General features: G+C 45.2%; 1 long non-coding RNA gene across 1 annotated transcript, besides 1 other annotated feature; it reads right to left on the reverse strand.

Annotated features, from left to right (window-relative positions):
- Positions 1-1,964: 1,964 nt before the first annotated feature.
- Positions 1,965-13,342, reverse strand: LOC105374123 (uncharacterized). The gene is made up of 3 exons (XR_924529.2): positions 13,270-13,342; positions 2,888-2,979; positions 1,965-2,085 (listed from the first exon to the last, which is right to left on the reverse strand). It is a non-coding gene; the product is annotated as an uncharacterized LOC105374123 (long non-coding RNA).
- Positions 4,292-4,341: an enhancer, noted in NCBI's record as "active region_20578". NCBI's record gives its function as "activates an Ori minimal core promoter by ATAC-STARR-seq in GM12878 lymphoblastoid cells {active_cell/tissue: GM12878}" and the evidence as "EXISTENCE:reporter gene assay evidence [ECO:0000049][PMID:35858748]".
- Positions 13,343-25,663: the final 12,321 nt, after the last annotated feature.

The following is a 25,663-nucleotide window of genomic DNA, read 5'->3' on the forward strand; positions in this document are numbered from 1 at the left end:
AGGGAGTTACTGACTCTCAGGCCACCAGGCAGTTTTGGGAGGCTGAATTTCCCATTCACAGTCTATTTGGGTGGGCCACATGGAGCATGGAATACACACAGGAGTGGAAAGAGATGCCTCCACCCTCTGCCCCTCATCTTGCTAGCTCTCCATTAAGAAATCAAGAATTGCCAATCTGAATAGAGCATGCGTCCTGCATGATTTCGGTCTGGAGAGAGGTGGTCGTGTTAGCTAGCCAGGGAGATAAAGACACCAAAAACCCATTGCAAGTATTGCAGAAGTGATCAGCAGGTGCTCTCCCATGAGACAGTGACCAGAGGAGTGTCCTTTCTCTTCCTTTCTGGGGAAGAAGCAAACCATCCACAGGAAGGATGCATCTGATAGACACTGTGGGCTGAAGGAAGGGGATATTGGTTCTCAAATGTGTCTACACTTGTATCCACTTTCTCACCAGTTGCTCTAGTTTTTCATTCAATGAACAAATGTTGGCACCTGCTCTGTGCCAGGCATTGTACTAGGAGCTAGGGATGCAAAAATCAAGTAAGACCCAGTTCTCTGCTCAAAGGACGCCCACATATAGTTAGGGAGGCAGATAATTAAATCAACAACTGTGAAGTGGTGTGATGAGTATTGTGACAGAAAGTAGGAACATGGTAGGAGGACCTGTCCTTAGCCTGAGGATCCATGGCAGGTTTGGGGGATGGAGGCAATGTTTGAACTGAGCCAGAAGTTGGAGGTGGCAAAGGGTAGGGTGGAAAGAGATTAAAAAATAAATAAAAAGTGACACCTTCCCTGAGGGAATTCTAATCTTGCTGAGTAGGAGCAATGAGATGAGGAAGAGGAAGAGGGCTCAAGAAGTATTGCAGAGACAGGGAGGGATGAGAGAGCAAACTTAATGAAGATTGGCAAGTAAGTTGTAATGCCTGGAGCAAAAGGTCCCATAAGAGAGAGGAGCCAAGGATGCCAGCAGCCCTGTCATGCTGGGCCTGTGTGCTGAGCTAAGGAGTTTGGGCTTTATTCTGAAAACTGCAGGCAGCTCCTGAAGGCGGGAGGTGACATGATCAGATATAAAATGTTCAAGTAGTGATTGTTGAGAATCGGGAACACTAATTCTTTGCCAAAGAGGAAGGCTGAGCAGGATGAAGTAAGTCCTCAAGGCATTAATAGTCTAGTGGAAAAGACACCAGGGAGAGCTCTCTTTCCTGATTTACCTCCTGTGTCTGAAGCCTCTTCTTCTCTTTCTTTTTTTCCTCTACTGACTTCATAAATGTTTATTTTCTCGGATTCTATCCTGGACCTTCTTCTGGGCTCTCCTCACTCAATGGTTCTCAAAGTCCTGGCTAGCGACCAGCAGCATTAGCATCATCCAGGAACTTGTTAGAAATGCACATTCTTGAGCCCCACACAGACCTACTGAATTAGAAACCTTGGTGGTGAGACCTAGCTACCTGTAGTTCAACAAGCCCTCCAGGTGATTCTAACGCACACTCAAGTTCAAGGACGACTGATTTACATCAATCCTGGCTACATGTTACAATCACCTGGGAAACTGTTTTGACCTATATATATGCGTGCCTTGGTCTCACCACAGACCAATTAAATTAGAATCTCAGTGCAGGGCCCAGGGACCAGAGATTCAGATATGCACCCAGGGTTGAGACAAAAACCACTGGCCTAGAGCAACGCTTCTCTGACTTTAACATGCCCATAAATGCCCTGGGGGTGTTTTTAAAATTCAGATTGTGACTGGTGAGAACAAGATTCTGCTTTTCTAACTAGGTGATGTCAATGCTGCTGGTCTATAGACTTCATTTTCAGTAATGAGGGTCTACCTTCCCAGTTTCCTTGGACTCTCAGCTTCATCTACCAATTGTGTGTTAGTAACACTACCCAGACCTAGTCCCCACCTCTCTTGAGCTCCTAACCTGTAAGAAATACTTCCAGTTGGAGAACCCACTCACACCTCAAATTCAACACTCTCTAATTCACCTCATCCTATCCACCCTCTCTCAGATTTCTACTCACCTTGGATGCTTACTAGCTCATTAAGCCAGTCTGTTCACCCAAACCAGGATAGACCATGTCCTGAAGCCAAAACAGGACAGAGTTTTAAGAAGATATTCCCCTAAATGGTCAACCCAAATCCCGAGGCTCTTGGGCCATCCCCTTACCTGAGAACTCTAGCCCCTTGCAAAGAATACCCTCCCCTCATATTTGTGAGATTTCCGAGAGAGGCTTTGGGTGAGCCCTTGGGGGCTCTGCCACTACTCTGAATGATGACAAAACAAAAGGTCATTGGATACGAGAGTAAAAGGGTCCCAGGGAACTTTAGGGGAAGAGACATTGGAGTATTGGGAATTTCTTGAACTTAACCTTCCTGGTATTAAGGCTAGCATGTTTGCATATACGAATGTGAGCTCAGGCTCCCAGCCTCTGCAGGGTTTCTGAGGATGGGCTACAGGTGGCCCAGCCCCTGCCAGCTCTGAGAGAGAAGCAATGTGGGCTGAACAGCCAATGTACCTGACCTCAGTCCCACTGAGTCCCCAGCACCTCCAGCCACTCTCCATGCAACAGTTTAGAGGCCATGTTCTCGTGGCACCCTTCTCTGGGGCTTCAAAAACTCAAACATCAGTTTTTGAGGACAATCCTGATTTACTCCTTCTGTCCCAACATTATTATCAACAGTGACTGGCACCAGACATGGAGATGTGCTACTCAGATACTGGTATCTGAGTCTCCATCCCTATTAAAACATGGTGGCAAGAACAAAGCTTAGTACTTGACTTCCCAGATGTAGGAGAAGGGATGCACAGGGAGGATCCTCATTTCCTGTGATCTGAATGACATCTCGCTAATGCAGCCTAAAATTGTATCCCCTCATTCTCACCTCATGTCATCTCTGATGGATCTCATTACCAGAAAACTGCATTCAGGCAAGGTCTCCTCCAGCTGGCACTTGTACAATTGATGCTTTTGAACCTAAATGTAGAAATTTACATATGTCTCTGTTAACTTTCATCTTTTTGGTTCAGCCCCCATTCTAGTCTATCAAAATCACTTTGAACCTCTATTGTATCTTCAGTTGCAGAATTTTCCTTTCCAACTTTCTATTATCTACAGATTCAATAAGCATGTCTGAGTTATGCTGTGTTCAAGGAACTCTGGACTCAGGAGTCAGGGAGATAGGCACTAGTCGTAACCTTCTATGTGACTATTGGAAAGTTATATAACTTCTCTGGATCTCAGTGACATGACCTCTAGAAATCCTGCTAGCTCAAAATTCCACAAGTTCAGGCCCTGCAAGCAAACCTCTTGGTTTAAAACCCAGCTCTACCACTTACATGATGTATGACCTTGAATAAGCCACATAACCTCCCTGTGCCTGTTTCCTCATTGTAAAATGAGTGATATTATAATACCAGTATAATCAAATAAGCATATAATATTACATATAAGCTTATATTATAAATGTTCTATATTGTATATTATTTCTAAGTATATGTATTATATGTAAGTATATAATTATAGTAAGTATATATGTGTAATTTATAATAACTATGATAATAGTATCTGCCTTTTGAAGTCATTAGAATTAAATGAATGAATTTATATAAAATGCTCAGCTCATGCCTGGCATATAAATAAGCGGTCAATGAATGTTGGCTATATTAGTCAAGACAAGCAACTGGTTAAAGAAAAGAATTAACAGAATAGGAGCAAGACAGAATAAGACTAAATCCAAGCCTGAATTCTATAAAAGTCTTCTGAAATATGGTGACCAGATGTCCTAGTTTTTGAGGACAATCCTGATTTACTCCTTCTGTCCCAACATTATTATCAACAGTGACTGGCGCCAGACACAGAGATGTGCTACTCAGATACTCACTCAAGGAAGGACTTGCTGGCCTCCTGCAAGGAATGTGGTTACCTACAGCTGTTGCATCCCCCAAGACCACTTTAGCTTTTGAGCCAGTCATCCTGGCCAATGACTGAGCAAGTTAGTACAAGGACCCAGACATTTCCACCCAATAAAGTCTTCTTCTAATAGTCAGCATTGGCTCCAGAGCTCCCCACTGGACTGAAAAGACTCTGGCAGGTCTGCCTTGTGCTTTCACAGCACCCCACCACCACCTCATTCTACTTCCTCCTTCACTTTTCTTTCACTTCCTCTCCAATAAACCTTTTGCCCTCTTGTCTCATGTCTGCTTCGCAAAGGACTCAGCTGACTCATCTCCTTCTACTCTCAAAAATGAACCCATGTACATGATGTTAGATGTTCACCCTATCTAGAGACCTTTAACATTGCCCCCACCCCTACTTCAACATCAGGACTCTCACAATGACATAATATGTGAAACACACATTTTTTCCTCTGAATCATGGAGATAATGTGTGACTGCAAGGTCTCTGATATGCTCAAGCCAGGCTTACACAGGTATGACCTCTCCCCTGATCTGTCTACCTGGAAGATTATAATAGAAGCTCTGACCAACATATGAAGTTAATTTGACAAAACTTAGTAACCTGTGGTGAGTTCTAATGATCGCAACATCTTTCCTAAGTTTTCATAAACCAGGTGTTTAATACTCCATTATAGGGATTTTTCTGGCATCAAATCTGTGGCCTTAGTTCACATCTCCCAGTTCTTTCTGCAGGGCATATATAGTTTGTTCTCCTGGCTGGAGGCTCTCACCCTTCCTTACCCCTCTCAGTCCTCAGTGCTACCTTCATACCTTCATCTTTATGGTCCTATCATTGCCAGCCTGTAGGGAGAACTGCATAGCTCCAGGCCACTGGATTCACAGTCCAGCTCTGCAGCTCTTCCTTGGCCAGAAGTGGGCCTCCTCTTGAATCTTCTCTGCCTCCTTTCCCCTGGGCCCCTGTGCCCCACTCCTCCATCCTGTCCTCACAGTCTTCCCCCACCTTCCAAGCTCCCCTGCTCTCCTGCTAGTCCAGCCTACTCTCGGGGTCTAAATCAAGCTCCATGCCCCTCATGAGGCCTCCCCCAGCCCCACGACAACCACAGTGACTAAATACAACTGACCTAGTCCAGCAAACACAACCAAGCTTCACCTGCAGGCCATGCAACCCGCTGGGCAGCTCTGCCACCCCTGGCTGTTTCCTGAACTCCCAGTAAGCTCCTGTCAGTGTGAGGCCCTGCCCACTTAAGGCAGCTGGCCCCAGTGGAGTAATGGACCAGGGGACAGAGTGGGGAGGTGGAGGCATCCCCACCTCCTGAACTCCCTGTAAGCTCCTTTTCTTGATGACAGGTGGTTCTGCTGTGCTGGTGGCTCTTCCAAGGCCCATGGCTTCCCTTGTCCATATCCTGGTACTGACCAATAATGTCCTCCAGTCCCACCACATCCAGAGCCCAGAGAGATGGCCTGGCACCTCACTGCCTCCCTGCTGGAAGGTGCTAAGCCTTGGCAGGTCCTTTCAGGGAGAACATAAAGAAGAGGTAGAGGGCTAGAAAGTCAAATGCCCACTTCTTGCTGTGGTGAAATTACCTCATGAACAGAGCAGGTAGGGTTCAAACAACCCTGTTCCTTTTTTGGCAGGCATGGGTAGTTTTCTCTTGCTTACTTGCTACAGACTTGCTTACTTTGCCATCTACAAAGAGTAAATAAATTCTTTCTAGCCTTTTCTCGTTCACTCACTTATTGTGTAATATGTTCGGTGCTGGCCGGGTTTGGTGGTTCACACCTGTAATTCCAGCACTTTGGGAGGACAAGGTGAATGGGTCACCTGAGGTTAGGAGTTCGAGACCAGCCTGGCCAATATGGTGAAACTCCGTCTCTACTAAAAATACAAAAATTAGCTGGGCATGGTGGCAGGCGCCTATAATCCCAGCTACTCAGGAGGCTGAGGCAGGAGAATCGCTTGAACTTGGGAGGTGGAGGTTACAATGAGCCAAGATCTTGCCACTGCACTCCAGCATGAGCAACAGAGCAAGACTCTGTCTCAAAAAAAGAAAAATGTTCACTAACCACTGTGTGCCAGGTAAAGTCGGGCATCTTAGCCTCAGGCTTCAGGGCCCAGAATCTAATTACTCTGTTAGCCTCTGAAAGCATCTTAGTGTCACTCCCTCCTTCCTTCAAATCTTAAATCACCTACTAGTAAGCACATCATGAGACTCTCTATCAGTAGATCCTGAGAAAATCGTTCTTCAGGAGAGAGTAACGATAGCTCAATAATAATATTCATTCATTCGTTTATTTATTGGGCACACAAATATTTATTGGGTACTTATTACGTGCCAGGCACTGTGCCAATCAAAACAAACTTTAGCCCTGCATAGTTTAATGTCTGAGAGAGACATTAAACAAATTGGCCCACTAGTAAGCTTATCATCACAAACGGAGGAAAGTGCTTGGAAGAAAAGAAAAGGTTGTGAAAGACAGAGGATACCAGGATTGGCTTGTCAGGAAGGTCTCAAAGCTGAGCCCTGAGGGACAAGCAGGGTTGATTGGGAGAGGATGGAGGGCCTCTCACCCCCTACTTGCTCTCTTCCTCCACTCCTGGCATGCCCTCTTCTTCCACCATGCTCAGGACCCAAAACAGAGAGCCTCTTCCAACCACTGCCTTGAGTGCTCTCTCCTCTCTTCAAAGTGCTGATCTCAGCCCAGGGGCAGATGATTACCCCCAAGGTGAGTTTTGTGGCATTCTCTGACTTCCTAAGAGCCAGTTCATCATAGCATATGCAGAAGTATGCTATCAAGCTCAGGAGAGGGCGGGTAGGTAGCAACGGCCCTACCCCCAGCAACCAGGGACTGCTGTACCACTGCAGGAGCAGAGAGCTTCCAGACAGGGGCTTTGGAATGGCTACATTAAGAATGATTGTGGCAATAAAGTTCTATTAGCCATCTGGAGCAATCGCATGCTCTCCAGGGCCAGGCGCTTGGTTGCTGATGGCTGCCAACAGATGTGGGCAGAAAGAGGCTCCCAGGGATGGGGATGGCTGACTGTCTGGAATGGAGGTCAGTTAGAGGGGGACTCCAGCAGTGGCACCCAGCTAAAGCACTCTGCATGAATTCTGTTTCCATTTTAGATATGATCCTTAAGACATGTGAGGGATATTAACATTTAAACAGATTGCCTTTCCATGAGCAAATCTAAAAGATACATATGAGGTATCAGGGATTAACAGGAAAGCTCCCTCCTCCCCAGGCTGACTCTTCCACGAGGGTTACGTCATTTGGAGTCAAGCAAATTCATGTTCAAACTCTGCATTTAATTGGTTGTGTGACCTTGGGACTTGCATAAAATCTCTGAGCCTCATTTTCTCTCTTATAAAATGAATACAATAACTCCTATCTTTACCGGCTTCTGGGAAGATGAAATCAAATGGAGGAAGTAGAGCACCTCACCCTACCCATGCCCTGTCAAGGCTCCAGCTGTGGTCTTGGCCAGGGGTGAACAGGAATGTAGTTGGGGCTGACTAATGAAGGAGAAGCCCTGGTGTCCCCCTCCCAATTCAGGTACTTCCGTCCCACAGCAAAGACCCAGTTATTCTTTGGCCCATGCACTTCTCAAGAAAGTATGTTGTACTTCCATCCCCCATCTTGTGAGAGCAAATTAACAGGAGCACAAACACAGGTGTCACTATGATTTATGGAGTAATTAATAAACAATTAAGGTGTCTTGGAGCACAATCGCACATTTTATTTCAGCAGCCCTGCATGGCGATAGCTTGGCTTGCCCACAGTCAGTGTTGCGGACAGCACCTGGCCCATAGTTGTGGGTGATCTAGAAGGATGTGTGGCTTTTATGTAAAGCCAGCATGGGGGGTAGGCACTGCCTGAGAGGCGTAAAGTCAAATGCACTGTTGTCAAAAGCAGCCAGCCCTAAGCCTGCACTTCACTGTGTTAGGTCTCTGCATGGGCTCTGCACCACCCTGGGGGTGGAGAAGCTCCTCTGGAAGATCTGCTCACAGGCTGCTGGTGAGGCACACAGACCCCCTTGTTGCTACCTGTCACTGCTGTAAGCACACTCCCGAGGCTGGTGTGCAGACCTGTTTCTAACCAGGGCCACCTGCCTGTGTCCTGCACAGGAAGAGACACTATTGGTCCCCTCCTTTCCTGGGGATAGCAACTTACCCCAGAAACAAGCTTCCCCCTGTAGCCAACAAGACTCCTTCCTTTTGCCCCCACCCAAGCCAGTATACCAGGTTCCCTCCCCTTGGAGGCACTGCCACAGGACGCTGTGGGCATCCTCCCATCTGCCTCTCCCCACATTACATCAAGTTCCATCTCTAAGCCTTGTCTACATACCTCCTAAACATGGCTCCAACCTGCCCACTCTACCCCCACCCCCACCACTCCTCTGCCCTCCTCTTCAGCCTATGGTGAACCTCTCTCCTGGTCCCTCTGTGTACCACACTGGACACAAATACTGTCCCTGCTAGGCCAACTCAACTCTTCCTGTCTCCTCTGATGTGTTGGGGCACCGCCTCATGACCCATCCACCCCTACCCTCACTGACCACCCAACCTAGCCCCTCCTTCCACTAGTCCCAGTTGACATTCTCACTGCTCACTCCTTTCCCCAACCCAAATTCAAACCCATTGGAGAGAATCCAGTTTTCTGGTCTCTTTTTCCAAGAAGACTTCCCCCGTCAATCTCTTCCACCCTGATCACCCTAAAGCCTGCAAACAGGGTCAGCAAGCACTATGCCTGGTTTTTGTTTTTTTGCTTGCTGTACTTGTTTGTGGAGTAGGATGGCATAGAGGGCAAAAGTGCAGCTCCCAGGATCAGGCAAACCTGGGTTCAAGTCCTGGCTCTGCCACTTGCTGGCTGTGTGACCTTAAGCAAGTTATTTAAACTCTCTGCAGTGTAATTTCCTCATCTATAAAATGGGGATCATTATTTTGAAGAATAAGTGAGCTAAAGTGCTTAGCATAGTGGCTGATATGTGATAAATGCTCAATGAAACTTAGTTCTTATTATCACACACACACAATCTTTATAATTAGATTTCAAATGCCACAAAGGCAAGTACCAATTCAAATCTGTTTTAAAATGGGAGAAAGACAAGCTGGTGCTCAGAAACCACTCCTTCTCTAGTTCCCACACTGGCCCTGACCCCATCTTTCACTTCAAGCTTTCTTTTTTTCCCTTCCCATTGAAACTCCAGTATTAAGAATCTATCTATAGCTGACATCCCAAGCTCCCCGAAAACTGTAGTTAGTTCTCTGTGGCTCCAGGTTGAGGTGAGAATACAGGTAAAATACAGGATGCTTATGCACTAATTAGGAATACACACACACACACACTTTTTTGTTTACCTGAAATTCCAATTTTTATTTATTTTTTATTATTATACTTTAAGTTCTAGGGTACATGTGCACAACATGCAGGTTTGTTACATATGTATACATGTGCCATGTTGGTTTGCTGCACCCATTAACTCGTCTTTACATTAGGTATTTCTCCTAATGCTATCCCTCCCCCTGCCCCCCACCCCATGACAGGCCCCCATGTGTGATGTTCCTCGCCTTGTGTCCAGGTGTTCTCAATGTTCAATTCCCACCTATGAGTGAGAACATGTGGTGTTTGGTTTTCTGTCCTTGTGATAGTTTGCTCAGAATGATGGTTTCCAGCTTCATCCATGTCCCTGCAAAGGACATGAACTCATCCTTTTTTATGGCTGCATAGTATTCCGTGGTATATATGTACCACATTTTCTTAATCCAGTCTATCACTGATGGACATTTGGGTTGGTTCCAAGTTTTTGCTATTGTGAATAGTGCCGCAATAAACATACTTGTGCATGTGTCTTTATAGTAGCATGATTTATAATCCTTTGGGTATATACCCAGTAATGGGATCTCTGGGTAAAATGGTATTTCCAGTTCTGGATCCTTGAGGAATTGCCACACTGTCTTCCACAATGGTTGAACTAGTTTACAGTCCCACCAACAGTGTAAAAGCGTTCCTATTTCTCTACATCCTCTCTAGCATCTGTTGTTTCCTGCCTTTTTAATGATTCCCATTCTAACTGGCATGAGATGGTATCTCATTGTGGTTTTGATTTGCATTTCTCTGATGGCCCGTGATGATGTGCATTTTTTCACATGTCTGGTGGCTGCCTAAATGTCTTCTTTTGAGAAGTATCTGTTCATATCCTTTGCCCACTTTTTGATGGGGTTATTTGGTTTTTTCTTGTAAATTTGTTGAGTTCTTTGTAGATTCTGGATATTAGCCCTTTGTCAGACGGATAGATTGCAAAAATTTTCTCCCATTTCCAATTTTTAACTGGGTATCCTGTATTTTGATTTGCTAAGCCTGGCAACCTTAGGGGGAAAGTGCTCAGGAAGGAACGTCTGGTCTTCCAGCACTATGTCTTGTTTCTCCCACTGGGAAATTCCACTACAACCAAATTTGTTTGTCTGTGGCCCCCTCACACAAGGCTGAGATTATGTTTGTTATAGTCAACTCAGTTCTTCAGTAAACATTTCTAAATGCAAACAAGCATCAAAACCTTCTGAGCCCACCTACCGGTTTAACAGACTTCCTGACTTTCTCTCCATTCCCTACTATTAGGATGCCCTGTCCTTATCACACGGGAACACACACACTCACAAAGGGAAAAATCAATATGATTGATGGGGGGCTACAGTCATTTTTACCATCCCTTCTAATTTTTGACCCTGCATGTGGAATGTGGGTAGAATCTTCACTGGTGCTTTGTATGTCCAAAAACTCTCTGAGAGATAATCATTCCCTTTTCTTTCAATATTGGTAAATATTGTTCCACAGTCTTCCAGTTTCCAGTTCCACAAATAAATGTAAAAGCCTTTTTTGTAAATGTCTCATTTTTTTCTATCCACAGTCTGTAAAATTTTCTTTTTCTCTGGAGCTCAGCAACGCCTCCTATGCCTGGGGTGCATCTGTTTGCAACAATCCTGGAACTCTCACTGAGCCCTTCCTTACTACAGACCATGTCTTTCTTCAGTCAGAAAATGTTTCATCTATCATTTCTTTAGCTATTATCTCTCCTTCTACCCTTCTATAACCCCTGGCTTTTTTCATATTAGATTTCTTGGTTATATTTCTTAGCGTTTTGCTCATAAGCACCATATCTTTGTATTTTGCATTTTCACTTAGTTGGTGAGCTATGTCTCCCATATGATCATCCAGAATGCTAATTTGGTTCCCAGCAGTGACCAGTCCCTTTTACAGTTTGCCTATGAAATTTTTTTTTTTTTTTTTTGAGATGGAGTTTCGCTCCTGTTGCCCAGGCTTGAGTGCAATGGTGCGATCTCGGTTCACTGCAGCTTCTGCCTCCTGGGATCAAGCAATTCTCCTGCCTCAGCCTCCCAGGTAGCCGGGATTACAGACATGTGCCGCCATGCCCAACTAATTTTGTATTTTTAGTAGAGACAGGGTTTCTCCATGTTGGTCAGGCTGGTCTCGAACTCCCGACCTCAGGTAATCTGCCTGCCTCGGCCTCCCTAAGTGCTGGGATTACAGGTGTGCGCCACTGTGCCCAGCTGAAATTTTTTAAATTAAGAAATCATTTTTCGTTGTTTAAGAAAATTCATGTTGTTCTCTGGTTTTCCTTGAGAGCTCTTACTTCCAGTCTAATAAAGCTCTCTTCTGCCACATCGTTTTGTTCTACCTCAGTACAAGCTACCTATTCTCATTGTTTACTAAATTCCCTTAAGTGGATAATGAGTTTTCTTTTTCTACTCATGATTATATGTTCCCTGGGCACTCGCACTGTTTGGGCTGTTTAGGGTGTCTCAAACCAGAAGGCGTCAGAAAGATGGTGGATTTGTGCCTCCTGGTGGGCTGGCAGTGAATAAGCTGTCCAACAATTACAAGCGCCCTCTCTGCAGGGGTCAAGAAAGCAGCTCTGTCCCACATTCCCTGACATAGGACAGTGTGGCAGTCCTCTTCTACCTGGCACCACTGGTCAGCAGGCTCAGGCAGTGTTTCCAGGGACCACACGCATCCGGCAACAGGTGCAACAGCTCTCTGAGGGTCCCTCTGGCCCTCTTAGCAGCTGGGCCTCTCAGGGAGTTGTGAAATCTCCCTTCTTCACCCCAGTCTTTGAGAATGGAGAGCCTTCTCTACCTTACTCACTCCATCCTCACCTGAACCAAACTCCCAGCATCACATCTGCCTTCAGGCTCACCAGCAGGCCCACCCACAACTGCTTGACTCCACCAAGGGAATCATGATGGAAAAAGCCTGGAGCACAGGGCTGGGGGCTATCCTCAGGGAACCAGCTTCCCTCATCTTCCACTGCAAATATTACTGTTCTAAACCTCCTCATCACAAAAGCATAGTTCCTCTGGAATAGCTGTGTGAATAGCTAGCTCCTTTCAAGGCAGTATGGGAGAGCAGAAAATAATCTAAGCTTAGAAACTAAAGACTTGGGTGTGAGACCCAGCTCTGAGCATTTTGTAAATGTTAAAGTGTTGTGTCACCATGAGTTATCTCTGTAATCATATTACTGAACAAGACTAATTCCAGGCCTGAGTCCTGTACAGGGCCCTTACAGTGCTCTCCCAGGCAGCAGATATTTTTCTGCAGAGCACTCCATTCAAATTCTTTAGGGAGAGAGAACTATGATAAATCAAAGACAAAGTAACAATAGCAGAGCCAACACCATATTTTCATAGCATGTTTATGAGGACATCATATGGAACAGAGCTAAAGGGCTTACTGAAGTCAGGATATTTTACGTCTATTGCTTTTGCCTTATCTTCCAGACCTGTCATTCTGACCTGGAGGAAATTAAATTGGTCTGATGTGATTGGCTCCCTGCACAGTCATGTTGGTTTTCATCCAGTACCCTCTGGTTTTCTGGTATTTGCAAATTAATTATCGGATGATTTGTTGCAATATTTCTCACAGGATAATAGTGCCTGTCATAGCACATGACATTTATAATATGTTTTTTAGTTTCTTGGCAAAATGTGCTCAGTAAATGTAAATTATTATTGTTGGTCACTATCAAAGGTGTCGGATGATCAGGCATGAGAATGAGTGGACAGGTTGGGCTCTCTCTGAGCAGGATATGCCACTTACTAAGTACTCCCTCTAGGAAATGGAACTGCAGAAATTATCCTTATCATCATCTAATTTGCAAAACACAGCCACTTTTCCCTTCTTCCTTCCCTGTTCTCACTCACTCCTGTGGTCCACTAGGTAATGTACCTGTCTAGAGAATACTCCTTTTTTCAGAATGAAGACATCTTTTGAGCACATATGATCATTCGACCCAAGAAAGATGTCAGAAGTGTCTACCTTGCCCCAATACCTGTCAATTCAGAGATTCTGGAAGCCAAAGCTGGGGCTCCGAGTCCCAGATACAAATCACAAGCAGAAGTGTGTGTCACCATTTCAGGGTCTGTTATGAAAGAGAAAGATAGAAGTCAGGGGAATGGGGTCCTAGGCTCAATGCCCCACTGGCTGGCTGAAGCAGGTCTACACAAACTCTCAGGACTTCACCTGCCCAGTCAAGGGACTTGACTAGATGTCCTCAGAGGGTCCTTCCAGAGTGCAGTTCTATTTGATATTGAGTTCTTAGCACACAGACATGGCAGATGCACTCTTAGACCAAAGGAGAATCAGATTCTCTGACTATTGATTAGAAAGCCCAATGGCCATAACGTCTGGTGGGAAATCCCATGGACTTAGCCAAGGATGGTAGCAAGGATGAATCCCAGGAAAATTTTGAGCTAGGCAGTGGAGGTTTTTGGAGCTGCTACTCCCTGCCCTCTCAATTCTTTGTTGGTTCTCTCTCCCTCCTCCACCTTTAGGCCATTGGTGCCTTTATATTGTCCCCGATGGCCCATGAAATTCCCAACTTAGTATGTCTTCTCTAGGCCATGTTTACTGCTCACATATTTCAAAATCTACCTCCAGCCTTCAAACTTACCTATCCACTATCCCTATCGAAATATCTCCTTGGTTATTTAAACTCATCAGGAAAACAAAATTGGAAGTCATATATGTATGGCTAATAATGGCTCATTGCTTTACATTCTAACTGAGATCATGAGGACCTTACAAATGGAGGCCATTTGAGCTCTGTAGCAGAAGTGGTTTGGGAGCCTCTCTAAGCACTCAAAACTCAACAGATCAGTTGTAGATATCCTATTTTAATGCATAGCTCATCCTCTCATCAAAGGAAGAGAGCTGGGATGGCATTAAAAAGGTTCAAAACTGAAAACTTGCCACACTAAAAGTCAGAAAATGCCTGACTCCACTTTGCACCCTGGGTCCCATGTACTAAAGACAACATGAATGGATTAAGAATAAGTATCTCTCCCTCAAACAGGCATTTGATGCTCCAGGAAGCTTCAAGGTGGCATGATGAGCAGGAGGAGTCCTGGGTTCCACTTATGCACTTGGTGACTTTAGAAAAGGCTCTTCTCCACTCTGAGCCTGGCTTTTGTACTGAAAATAATAAAAGGTGATCAGGGGGTCTCTGAGGTCCCTTTTAACTCTTAAATATTGTGGTTATCATCTTTACTTATCTCCTCCAGCATGAAGACACTGTAATGTCTTTATCACCAAATGGATACAGGATTGGGCAGACACCTAGTTAGCATTCACCATTCCTGCTGGCTAGGGATGAAGGCTTTTATTCCAGATATCCCCTTGTGTTTTCTTTCAAAAGGATGCATCCTGGCCTTTAAGAGCTGGTTCTTGTCCAGAATCACTTCCAAGGAGCAGGCTGGCCTTCCTCCCCTAGCAGCACTTTGAAATGTAAAATAAAGGTTTGTTCAGTTGTTTTTCACCACCACCAACTTACATTTTGGAGGAATGGAGCCTAGCTGTTGCATCTGGAAATGTGCTGTGCATCCTAATGATTTCAATGTTCCCACCAGAGGAAGTGTCACCTTCATAACCCCAATTCAGCTAAAATTTGCAAGCTGATCAGATAGGAAGTTTTCCTTATGTACACAGCAGGAGGCTCAGTCTAAGCTCCAGAGCTTTCCTGTCTCAGACCCTATGGCCCACTGAGCTATAGCACAGTCCAACAAAACATCTGCCAGTCACACCACTCATGGCCCAAAAAATGCCACAATGAAGGAAGTGCCCGTGAGGTCTTCACAGAAAGGAACCTGCCAAATGGTTTCCAGAGGAGACAGAAATTCTTGATTCAAATGTAGCTCTGAGATTTACAAACTAGTCACTTAAGCTCCCTGTGCTTCAGTTTCCTTTTCTGTGAAACAGGTAATAACACCTGTCTTGCCTTTTGCAAGGATCAACTGAGGTGACAGATGTAAAAGAAAACACCTTGTAAACTACGGCTCTTTGGAGGAAAGTGGCAGCATAATTGTCAAAGAATTGTTTCAAAGTAGACCTGCCAAACTCTCACTCTCCAGAAATCTAACCCAGGGTCCAGAGTAGGTCCTGATCATATGTATTCTGAAAAGGTCCCCAGAAGATTCTGATACACTCCCCTGCTGTGTGCTGTGCAGAGGTAAGAGGTGATTGATAGGATGTGGGCTCCATTCCTAACCAATATCTGGGTTAGGATACTTATTATATCTAGAGAGAACCATGCAGAAAATGTGAGTATGGACCCAAGGAGTCATGAAGAGTTTTAAAGCTCAGGGACAGGATCCTGGCCCCCCAAACCCTGAGAGGTAGCTAGGTCATCTGTCCAACTGGGAACAAAGTAGAGTAGGGCACATTTTAAAAAAAATGAGTCAAGAATGGTATCTAAGGTGAGATGGCAACATGGATGTCCTAGGCTAGACTGAGGTACCAATGAACACAGGTAACTATCAGGGCCTTCTGGGATTTCTTCTCTGTTTCACTATCTTGTCCAAGGTTGATCAAATCAGGTATTGACATTCAAGGTCCTAAAACAAAAGTCTATTCACTAAAAGTCAATGGTCAGAACCAGGTGAATCTCTCTTTGTTCCTTCACCCTGGTCCTGGGGATGGGACTCCTGTAGTGCAGACATGGTAGGGACAGTGGATTAACCACTTCTTGGCTGGTCACAAATTTGAGGCTTGCTGCTGGGCTCCCAAGTTACTCCCCAGAGAAGGCATCAAAAACAGAGTCCTCCTGCCTGACTGGTCTCTGAATCTCCTTCCTGATGTCAGAGATGCCTGGGAGTCATCAGCCAGCCAATCCTAGATCAATGATGGCACTCAACCCATCACTGGCCTTGAGTCAAGGCCATGGACTCTTGACTCTTCGTTCACATTGACTAACAAATCTCAGCCTGCTCATGTTTTCCCATATTCACGTATACATGAACACAACACAAGACCCATGACAGTCACCTTGCATATCCTGGAGGGTCTTTGAACCTCTTCTTAGACAAAGGTCCTTCAAACACTTGAGTACCATTGATGGTGAACATATCACTAATGATGTTCAGCCAATGCTTACATGTAATATAACTTCTATGACAGTTTTTTTAATAGCCTTGGATCTTTGACATTTCTCTTATTTTAAGGTGGAGTCCATATTCCCTCTTCTTGAATCTGGACAAACTTATGACTGCTTTGACCAGTAGAGTATGGTAGAAGTGACACTGTATGACTCCCAAAGCTAGGTCAGAAAAAGCCACACAGCTTCCACTTGGAACCCTTGGAACACTCACTTTGGAGTAAGCTAGCCACCATGTCAAAAGTCTAATACCATAAGATTACCATGCTAGAGAGTTCACATGTGGGCACTCCAGTCAACAGCCCCAGCTGAGCTCCTAGGCAACAGGAAGCACCAAGTGCAGCTGTGTGAATGAGCCATCTTGCCTGTCTAGCCTTGTCAAGGACTTCAGATGATTCCAGCCCTAGTGAACTTCTGACAGTAGCCATGTCAGAGATCCCATGAAAGAACTGTCCATCCAAGACCTTCCCAAATTACTGTTCCAGAAAACTGTGAATAAGATAAAGTGGTTACTTAAGTTGATAAGTTTTGGGATAAGTTCTTACACAGCAAAAGTAAGTGAAAAATCTAATTCCAATTTTTTAAAATTACAGTGGTGGATATGGGGGGGGGCACTTGCTCAGATTATTTGATCCCTACATAGTCAGGCATTCTCATTCTCTGTGAATAGGAATAAAACTTGGTAAAAAATCTTCCTGGAAGCAATTTCGACAATACCGAGTTAGAGCTTTAAGCCATGCATGGCCTTTCACCTCTCAATTGCAATTCTAGGAATCCGCTCTAGTGAACTGATTACAGATATATACAAATAATTCTCTGTATCAGCTCCCAGGATACTGATGAGTGTTATCTGTAACATTAAAAGATTGGGAATAACCTAAATGTCCTACTGAGGCATTTGTTAAATAAACTATGATATAGTCACACAAGAAAACAATTTATACCCATTTCAAACCATATTTTTGAAGTATATTTGATGGCAAAATCTTCATGATCTATTGCTAAATAAAAATTGAGAATATAAATGGTATTTCCCTTATATTAGAAATACATATATAAAGAAGGAAAAGCTCAAATTATAAAAGTGGTAATGTCTAAATAGTACTATGGCTCAAAGTTTTTATTTCCTCCTATAGGTTTTTTTCCATGTTTTTTACATTTTCTATAACCAACACCCATTACTTTTATAACCAGTAAAAAGGATATTTTAAAGAGAAAGAAAAAAATGTGACACCCAAACCGCCAAGAATGTGAAAAGAGTCTGTGTTCCCAAGCATCAGCCACTTCTGGAGGGCTAAAAGGATCGTCAATCACAGCTACAGAGCCAAGGCAGAGTCCCCAGTGCCTCATAAGACTGTGAGAATCTAAACTTCCTAGTGGACAAGAAGCAAAGTGAGTTCTGCAGAGGAGGAGAAAGAGCACATGGAGCTTAGCTGGGAAACTGGAGGCCCAGAGAGTAAAGATCAGAAACCAAAAGTTAAAGTACAGTTTACTATAGAATCACAGGAGAGTAATCATTAAGTGTGTGCCCATATATGGGGGTAGGATGGAAGGAGTGTGAGCAGGAGCCATTGATTAGGAGCTCCTGGAATCTCCTTGAGGACTTGCATCAGCAAAATGCAAGCTCTAGGGCTGCACTATCCAATATGGTAACCACTAGCCACATGAGTTACCTAAATTTAAATTAATTAAAATCAAATAAAATTTAAAACTCAGTTCTGTGACATTAGCAACATTTCAAGTGGTTAATGGTTATCATATTGGACACAGCAGGACAGAACTTTTCCATCATTGCAGAAAATGTTCTGATGGACAGAGCTGCTCCAGGGAGTTGCTCAACTTGGATTCTTAGATTTCTGGAGAGCTAACAATGAATAGCGTAAAGATGGAAGTGGGAGTCAACAGACCAATTGAAACCCAACTCTCACATTTATCAGATGTGAGATCTTAGACCCATTGTTCAGGACTCTCTAAGTGTCAGTTTTCTTATCCATAAAATGAGAATAATAATACCTACCTTATAGGGAGGTGAAAAAGATTAAATAATTCAAAGAGTACAAACCACCAGATCAGAGCTTACATATGGTACGTGCTTAAAAATCACTTGCTGTTATACTAATGAGGATCCATGGGGTCTTTAAAAGCCAAGGGCAAATCAGAATACCCAAACCAAACAGACCCTACTCAGAACCCAAGAACCTTTGCACCCAGACTCAGCCTAAAAATAAAAGGCTCTTTAGCCTTTCTTAAGGTTCTTTTAAGGTCATCTGGCCTCATACCTCATGTAAGCCCAGGCTGATGAACATCTAAGGAAGCAGGTTGAAAGATGCCCAGGAGCTTGGTAGCCATCATTTTTCCCAGCAACAGAGCTTCTCAGTCCCACCCTCCAGATGAGAAAAATGGAGCTCAATGAGGTTATCAGCAGTGCAGCTGGGACTCAAGCCAGGTGTCAGGTGCCCCATGCATACCCTGTCACCTGCTAAAATGTCTTACCATGGTGGCATGCAGGAGACTTTCTGAATCACCGTCTAAACCCCTCCTTGGGCAGGAAAAGCCTGTCATGGGGGGATGAGAGGAGAATGGAAGCCTCATCTTGGGAAGGTGGGCAGCAGAACTCCTGCTATTCATCCAGATGCATGAAGAACTCAGTGCAAGCCAACAGGGGTTATACAGAGGACACAGAAAGCACTTCTGGACATCACTTAATGGGGAAAGAAAAAGAGAAACACAACACGCAGCTCATGGAAATGGACCGTATGTCTACTCCAATCAGGATTGAGCACTGACCTCCGGAAGGAGGAACAAGGAAGAATTGGCCTTCCAGGGGAGGGCAGCAGGTATAAACACAAGCAATGCTATTCCTGTTCAATTCTTACATAAAGCACAGTTACGGAGTGAAGGAGCCAATTTCGGCATGACAGGAGTAGGCATAAAAAGGATATGTGGAAACATACGCTTTTCCCCAGCATGGCATAACCACGTTATTACTAGATGAAGTGCTTGAATGGGTGCCGCGGCTAATTAACAGTGGCCCCCTTAAAAAGAGAACTCTGCTTATTTTTATGGATGCGCTGAGCACAACTAGCAGGATTTAAAATCAGGCTCTCCCTACTCATCTATTTTTCTCTATAACTTGACCACGTTTTCCCTGGGTTCCAGACAAATGAAATGCTTATTTAGAAACTGTGGCCATCTGCAGCTGGTACTGCCACGTTTGTTTCTGCTCCCTGCCTGAGGGTTGATGAGGTTCTGGGGCATGGAAAATTTCCTAGGATGCCTGGGCCTAGGAGCCCAGTTGTGTGAGAAGGGAGACTCTGGGAAGAGAGGTTGAGCTTGAGCAAAGGGGCCGGCTCCCAGCTTCTCCATCAGGAAATCCTGACAGCTGGTACACTGGCAGCCTCACCTGCCACTAGGGCACATCAGCCCATGCAGGGAAATGGCAAGCCTCTCTCCAGCACCATAGGCAGGGACTCTGCATGCTGGTGACTCTAAAAGCTCACGGTACCACTCCCATCTGCTCCCCACCTCACTGTCTCCATCCATACAGAGGAGAACGCCAATCTGTGCTACTTCTTCCTTGCTGCTTTAGTGCTTGCTCCGGGATGGTTTCCCTCCATTTACCCATGTGATTAGAAGAAATCAGGTGCATTACATTCCCCTCAATTAATAAAGTCGGCTCCAGGACCCCCCTGCCACTGTGCCTCCTTGCACACTCTCCTGATACCTGTTCCCCCTCCCCCAGCATTGGCAGCCACAGATCCGAGACCTGTCCACAGTGATGGCAGTTATAAACAGCTGGCAGAGAATGTGCAGCCTCAGCCTTGGATGATCCCTGTGGATGGCAGGCTCCTCATTAATGCTGTTCTCACAATGGTTTGACCTGCTGGGCTCCCTCCCCAAGCCCACCTCAGCCAACTTGATTTTCTTGGTTTCTAGTCACTTTTCTTCCCTCCCAGTTCTAGATTCTCTTTATGTATGATAACAATAAAACATTAACTCCCTTCCCCTCCTGACCTCTCCAAGTAACCACATCCTCAATTCTATTCCATAAGCATATGATGTGGGCCTACTTTGTGCCTGGCATTGTCTAGGCCATCCATCCTCCCACTTGGCTCCATCAGGGCCAGAACCCTGCCTGTGCTGTTCCTCATGTCTCCCAATATCTGGCAAAGGCTGGTACTTGACAAGTGTTCGTGGAACAGATGAATTGTCTGCTTAAGAGGAAACAGCCGTACAAACAACCAATAAAACACAATGTGATTGGTGCTATAAAAAAGGTGAATACAAAGTCCTTTGGGAACTCAGAATTAGAAAAGAGAGCAATTCATTGTGCCTGGGTAGAGGGCACCAATTTTGCAAAGGCATGACTGTGTAAGTGTGTGGTGAGGCTGAGGAGGTGACCAGATCTGCTGCCCATATTCTTGCTCAACAACAAAGTGACGAGGACACAGAGGGGCTGACAAGACAACTCTATGTGGGGGTCAATGAAGAAATCAGCTGGTCAAGCTGGTCCTGCTTCCTGATGAGCACTTCTCAGGAAGTCCAGTCTCTGAGCCTACTCTGTTGGGTTCCTGGGACAGGCTCTCAGGACACAAGGGGAACCAGACAAGTCCCTCTCCTCAAGGAGCTTGCTGCCAAATGAGGGAGAAAGACTGATGGGCAATTACAGTGTGAGAAGGATGTCTGATGCCCTGCCATCCCTGGGCACATGGGCTACATTGGATCCAACTGCTAAGAGCTCTGAGGTGGCAGGAATACCAGGCATGGGGGGGTGCACAGCACTCAAGACATTAGTTTGTTCTTAGAAGGACTGAAAAGGCCAGAGAAGGGATGGAAGACATGGCCAAGAAAAGCTCAGGTCTCACTGCCACCAGGGAACGGCCTCTGATGCTCTGGATAGGCTGGGCTCCCCAAACCTCAAACCAAAACTCGTCACTGAGGTGACCCACCTTCTGCATGAAGGCTGGCCCGTCTGCTGGGTACCAGGTGATCCCTTCTCACTCCCCTTCCCTTTCACCCAAAGTGAAAGGGTACCAGGTGATCCCTTTCATCCATTCCTTCTTCCCAGTCTTATCCCTCCTGGAAAAAAGAGGCAAAGTAGAAAGAGAAAAGAAAAAAACACATCGGGAGAAAAGATAGAGCAGCGAAGAAATGAGAGAGCAAAGAGAGATGGTAACATGATGAAGGCCACTTAGTTCTAAATCAGTGATAAACCTTGGTTTTTACAAGGGCACGGCTAGAGCCTCGTGCCAGGCAGGGTGTCAGAGCCCTGGCATTGGGAAGTGATCCAACTCGTGGCTTGGTAAAAAGAATTTACCAACAATAGTATAGGTTTGAAAAAGGAAAGTTTACTAGGAAGGAAGAACGCTGCAAAAGGGTGCAGCGGGTCGCCTCGGCAACAGAAGACAGAGCAAGCCGCAGTGGATTTTTCCTTGGAAGCATTTATGGACCTTAAGGCATGAGCTTAAGGGTAATTTGGATTATATTAGTCACGTAGGTCATGATAAATGACATTGTAGACATATTGGTGCCTTAATATCAGCAAAGGTTGCAGATTGAGTTTTAGCGTGGCATTCCAGAGATGTATAGAAATTCTAATTCTTATAAATTTTGGAGAGGGAAAGAAATCTAGAACCAGATGCCTGTTTTAGATAATAAGGAAGTCTAATTACTTCTAATTTCCCCAGGTAATGAGTTTCATCTCCGGATGGCCTGTTTGATAGTCACTAGGTGGTTTTTAGTTCCTTCTAAATTCCTCAGATGAGGCGTTTTTTCTCCGGGGCCTGTTCAATGGTCACTAGGTGATTTTGCTTTCCTCACCTAGTGATCTCTGCTCCAGGGCCAGGCTTGGAAAGAACCTGCCAAAGGGCCCTGGCAAAGACTAAGACCATTGTCCCAGGCTCTTGCCCTCAACACCACAGCCCTCCTTCCCAACACAGCTCATGCTCTGAACCCAGAGTATCAGCCAGCTAGGAGGGGGGCTGATTAACAGTGGCTGCTTTGGATTTCCCCCCGCATCAGGTGCCCATCCTGCACTAGAATTCTAGTGAGGTTACTGGTCTCACCTGACTCTGAAGAAGGGCATGGGAGGATTCAGAGGTCCAACAGTTTACTGGCTTCCCCCCTGATTCAGACGATTCTGCACTTCAAATTGCTTTGGTTCAAACTCCTTATGATTTTTCTGGGCTGCTGGGAGGAGAGTGTATTGATTCTGTGTTCTGATAAGGTCAGCAGTGATCAGCTCTGACAGTCAAGCGGATGGCCTGTCCCCTTCCCCCTCCGCTAGATGTGGCTCCACATGCAGAAGAGGAGGGAAAGAAACAAAGACGGGGGAGGAGGAGACAGCGTCCTTTGTCTTACTGGTTCTGAAAACCTCTTTAAGCCCCATCAGCAGAAGTGGGCTCGTCTCGGATTGCCGTCTAGGAGGAGAAGTATGGGCACACTTGATCTTTTCTGTGTGTAGCTTCATTTTCCTTTTCCTCTGTGTGTGGCTGCCCTGAAGCCTAATCTCATGGATGGTGACTCATTTTCCTCCAAAGAACCAATTAACTTCCATGTAACATCCACAGACTCACAATGACACTGATTAACGTTCAGAACCTGTAGGATTGCTCAGACTGAGATGGTTAGGCAGGCATAGAGAAGGCCCCTCTGAGGTTTCATACAGTTGATCTGAACTCGATGAGGAAAGTGCTTGGATCCTTCTCACTTTTCTGAGGCCATGGGAGGGCAGGCTGCCTGGATCTCCCTCCCCAGAAAGAGTTCACAGCTCCCCACAAGTGGCAGGCATGTTCCCAATCCAAACTTGCCAGCCAAGGGTTCATACTCCTTGGAGATTTCCCATATAGTATGTGAAACACTGTGTAAATGTATATGTGGATGTTTTCTAGAGAGGAGGGCCAGGACTTTCATCCAATTCTCCAAAAGATCCATGAGCCAAGGGAGGATAAGAATTATTGTTCCATAGAATTCTTTCAAAGGTCCTTTAAAAAGTGTCAGGCTCCCAAAACCACCTCTCAGCTGGCAGTGCCATGGGAGATGCCCTAAGATGTCAAGGCCTAGGACCAACAGTGATGTCTTAAGTCGACCTGGGTGAGTTAGTGCAATGCTACTGCCATAATGATCTAAAGGTCCCATCAAGAACAAGTGCCATGAAATGACCAGTGACTTGACAGGCCTGCTAACCAGTGGGAAGGAGCATGAGTACTGAACCCACAGCACAAGAAGCAGTGGTGCCCTGAGCTGACATCAGTTGGATACCAGCTACAAAACTCTGCTCAGATCCAAGTGCCACTGCATTTGAACCAACCTCAATATATTCAGAGCCCCTAACCAGTTTGGTTGAAGGGTCTGAGATCACAACATCAAACCCAACAGAAATCACAGCTGCTGCTGAGTGGGAACCTACTCTACAGAGCACAATGTTGGGCACTTCAGGCACAGGATCTCATTACATGCAACAGTCCTGTAAAGTGCATACATCTCCATTTTACAGGTGAAGAGTTTGAGATTCAGAGAAATGATGTGTTCACGATCACAAGACCAGTGTGTGGAGATATAGTTGAATTTGAGCTAATGTCTGTGACTCCAAACCCCATGCTTCAGGACCTTATTCCATAAAGGAATAAGGTCACAAGTGGGGAGCAGCTTAGAAAAGGGAACCCCTGGAAACATGACAACAGAGAATGAGATAAACTACTGCTACAAAGAGAAGATCTGGGAATAAGACGGGAAGTTACTAGAAGTCAGATTTATGTTATATAGAAGCTCGTTTGGGTTTTTTTTACCTAGCAACATTAAACAGTAATTCAAAATAACTGCCATACTCATAATCCCCTTCCAAGAAAAATTTCCCCACTGAAGCCCCTACTGAGAGAAGCCTTACACCATTTCCTGAGCAGAGATAACCATGGTTTTCTCTACAGGAGTCCTTTGCCACAACTGATTGGACCAAAAGTGAGTTCCTGATCCCAAGCAGATCCTGGTAGGAAAACCTCAGGGCTCACAGTGTGTTTGTTAAGGTACTGCTTGCTGCTATAGTAAACCCAAACATGTATGATGGCTTAGTTCCCACCTGACTCCAAACCCCAACCTTCAAAGCTGCCTGACCAACTCCAGAAGCCACTACCCACAATCTGTGTAAATGACACCCCTTAAGTCAGATACCAGGAGAGGTGTCACTGGCCCCACATGCCAGCATCTCCAAACCTTACCTCTTCCCATGTTAGGATCTCTGACACATGGAGTATTCTAATTGTTCTGGCTAAAGTTTAATATGGAGAAAAACTAAAGCACTGGGAGGTTAAAGGGCAACCTTAATCGCACAGAATGCAGTAAGTTCAATGGCATTTGGATTGACCTGCCTGTTTTCACCTAGCAAAGTAAAGCGCTGTCCATAGTTTCAAGGCCAATAGTGTTTCTATCTGTTTGTCTGTCTGCCTATTTGTCTTAACATCCTTTGACATAGTAATCAAAGTCCCTGATAAAAACAGAAAATTTACAACTGTTAAAATAGAGTCATTTGCTGAAAGCACTGGTCTTTTGCAAAAAAAAAAAAAATTCTTTATCTGTGATATATCTATTCTAACTTCCTGGCCCAAGACTATTTCCAAGAAGACTGTAACTCAGACCTTACCGTAAGGTCACTGACACATGACAGCCCTTAATGAATATTTGTTGAATGAATGAGTAAATGAATGAAGCCGAGCCTTTACACAATGTGTTCAAAACTGCCCTTGATGGAAGGAGAGGAAGAATTATCCAACGGAGGAAAATAAAACAAGAAAGAATCATGTAACTCTTGAGACTGAGCTAGAATTATCAGGTGGTCCACACCGATGGCCCTCACCAAGCTACGGGCATGTGCAGGTCCCCCAGCTAACCAAAGTCTCCCTCAAGCTGTTCCAGTGGCCAACCACCACCAGCACACTCTCACTCTGCCTAGACCCTGCCTTCCCTCCCTGCCCCAGGCAGCCAGAGCTATGTGGTCCTTCACTGCCAAAAGCATTTCTAGGAGCTGGCGTAGAGCCCTTACAAGCCTGTGGGTGGGGCAGTCTGTGAACAGGTATGGGCACAGCTTATCTTGGAGCCCCTCAGGTGAGCAAATACATCCTTGCTGACTGTAGCCACCAGGAGCCTGTCAGATTCTCATTTAGAAAATGTGTTCTGGGCCCAAAAATCAGCCCAAGGACCAGAAATGGCCAACAGGCACAAAGGTCTGCACTTCTGAGCTTCAGCTTCATCTATTTAAAATATCAACTCTGAGATGTCACCCCATTTCTTTCCAGACAGGATG

Source organism: Homo sapiens, chromosome 3, assembly GCF_000001405.40.
Source record: "Homo sapiens chromosome 3, GRCh38.p14 Primary Assembly".
Classification (NCBI taxonomy): Eukaryota; Metazoa; Chordata; class Mammalia; order Primates; family Hominidae; genus Homo; species Homo sapiens.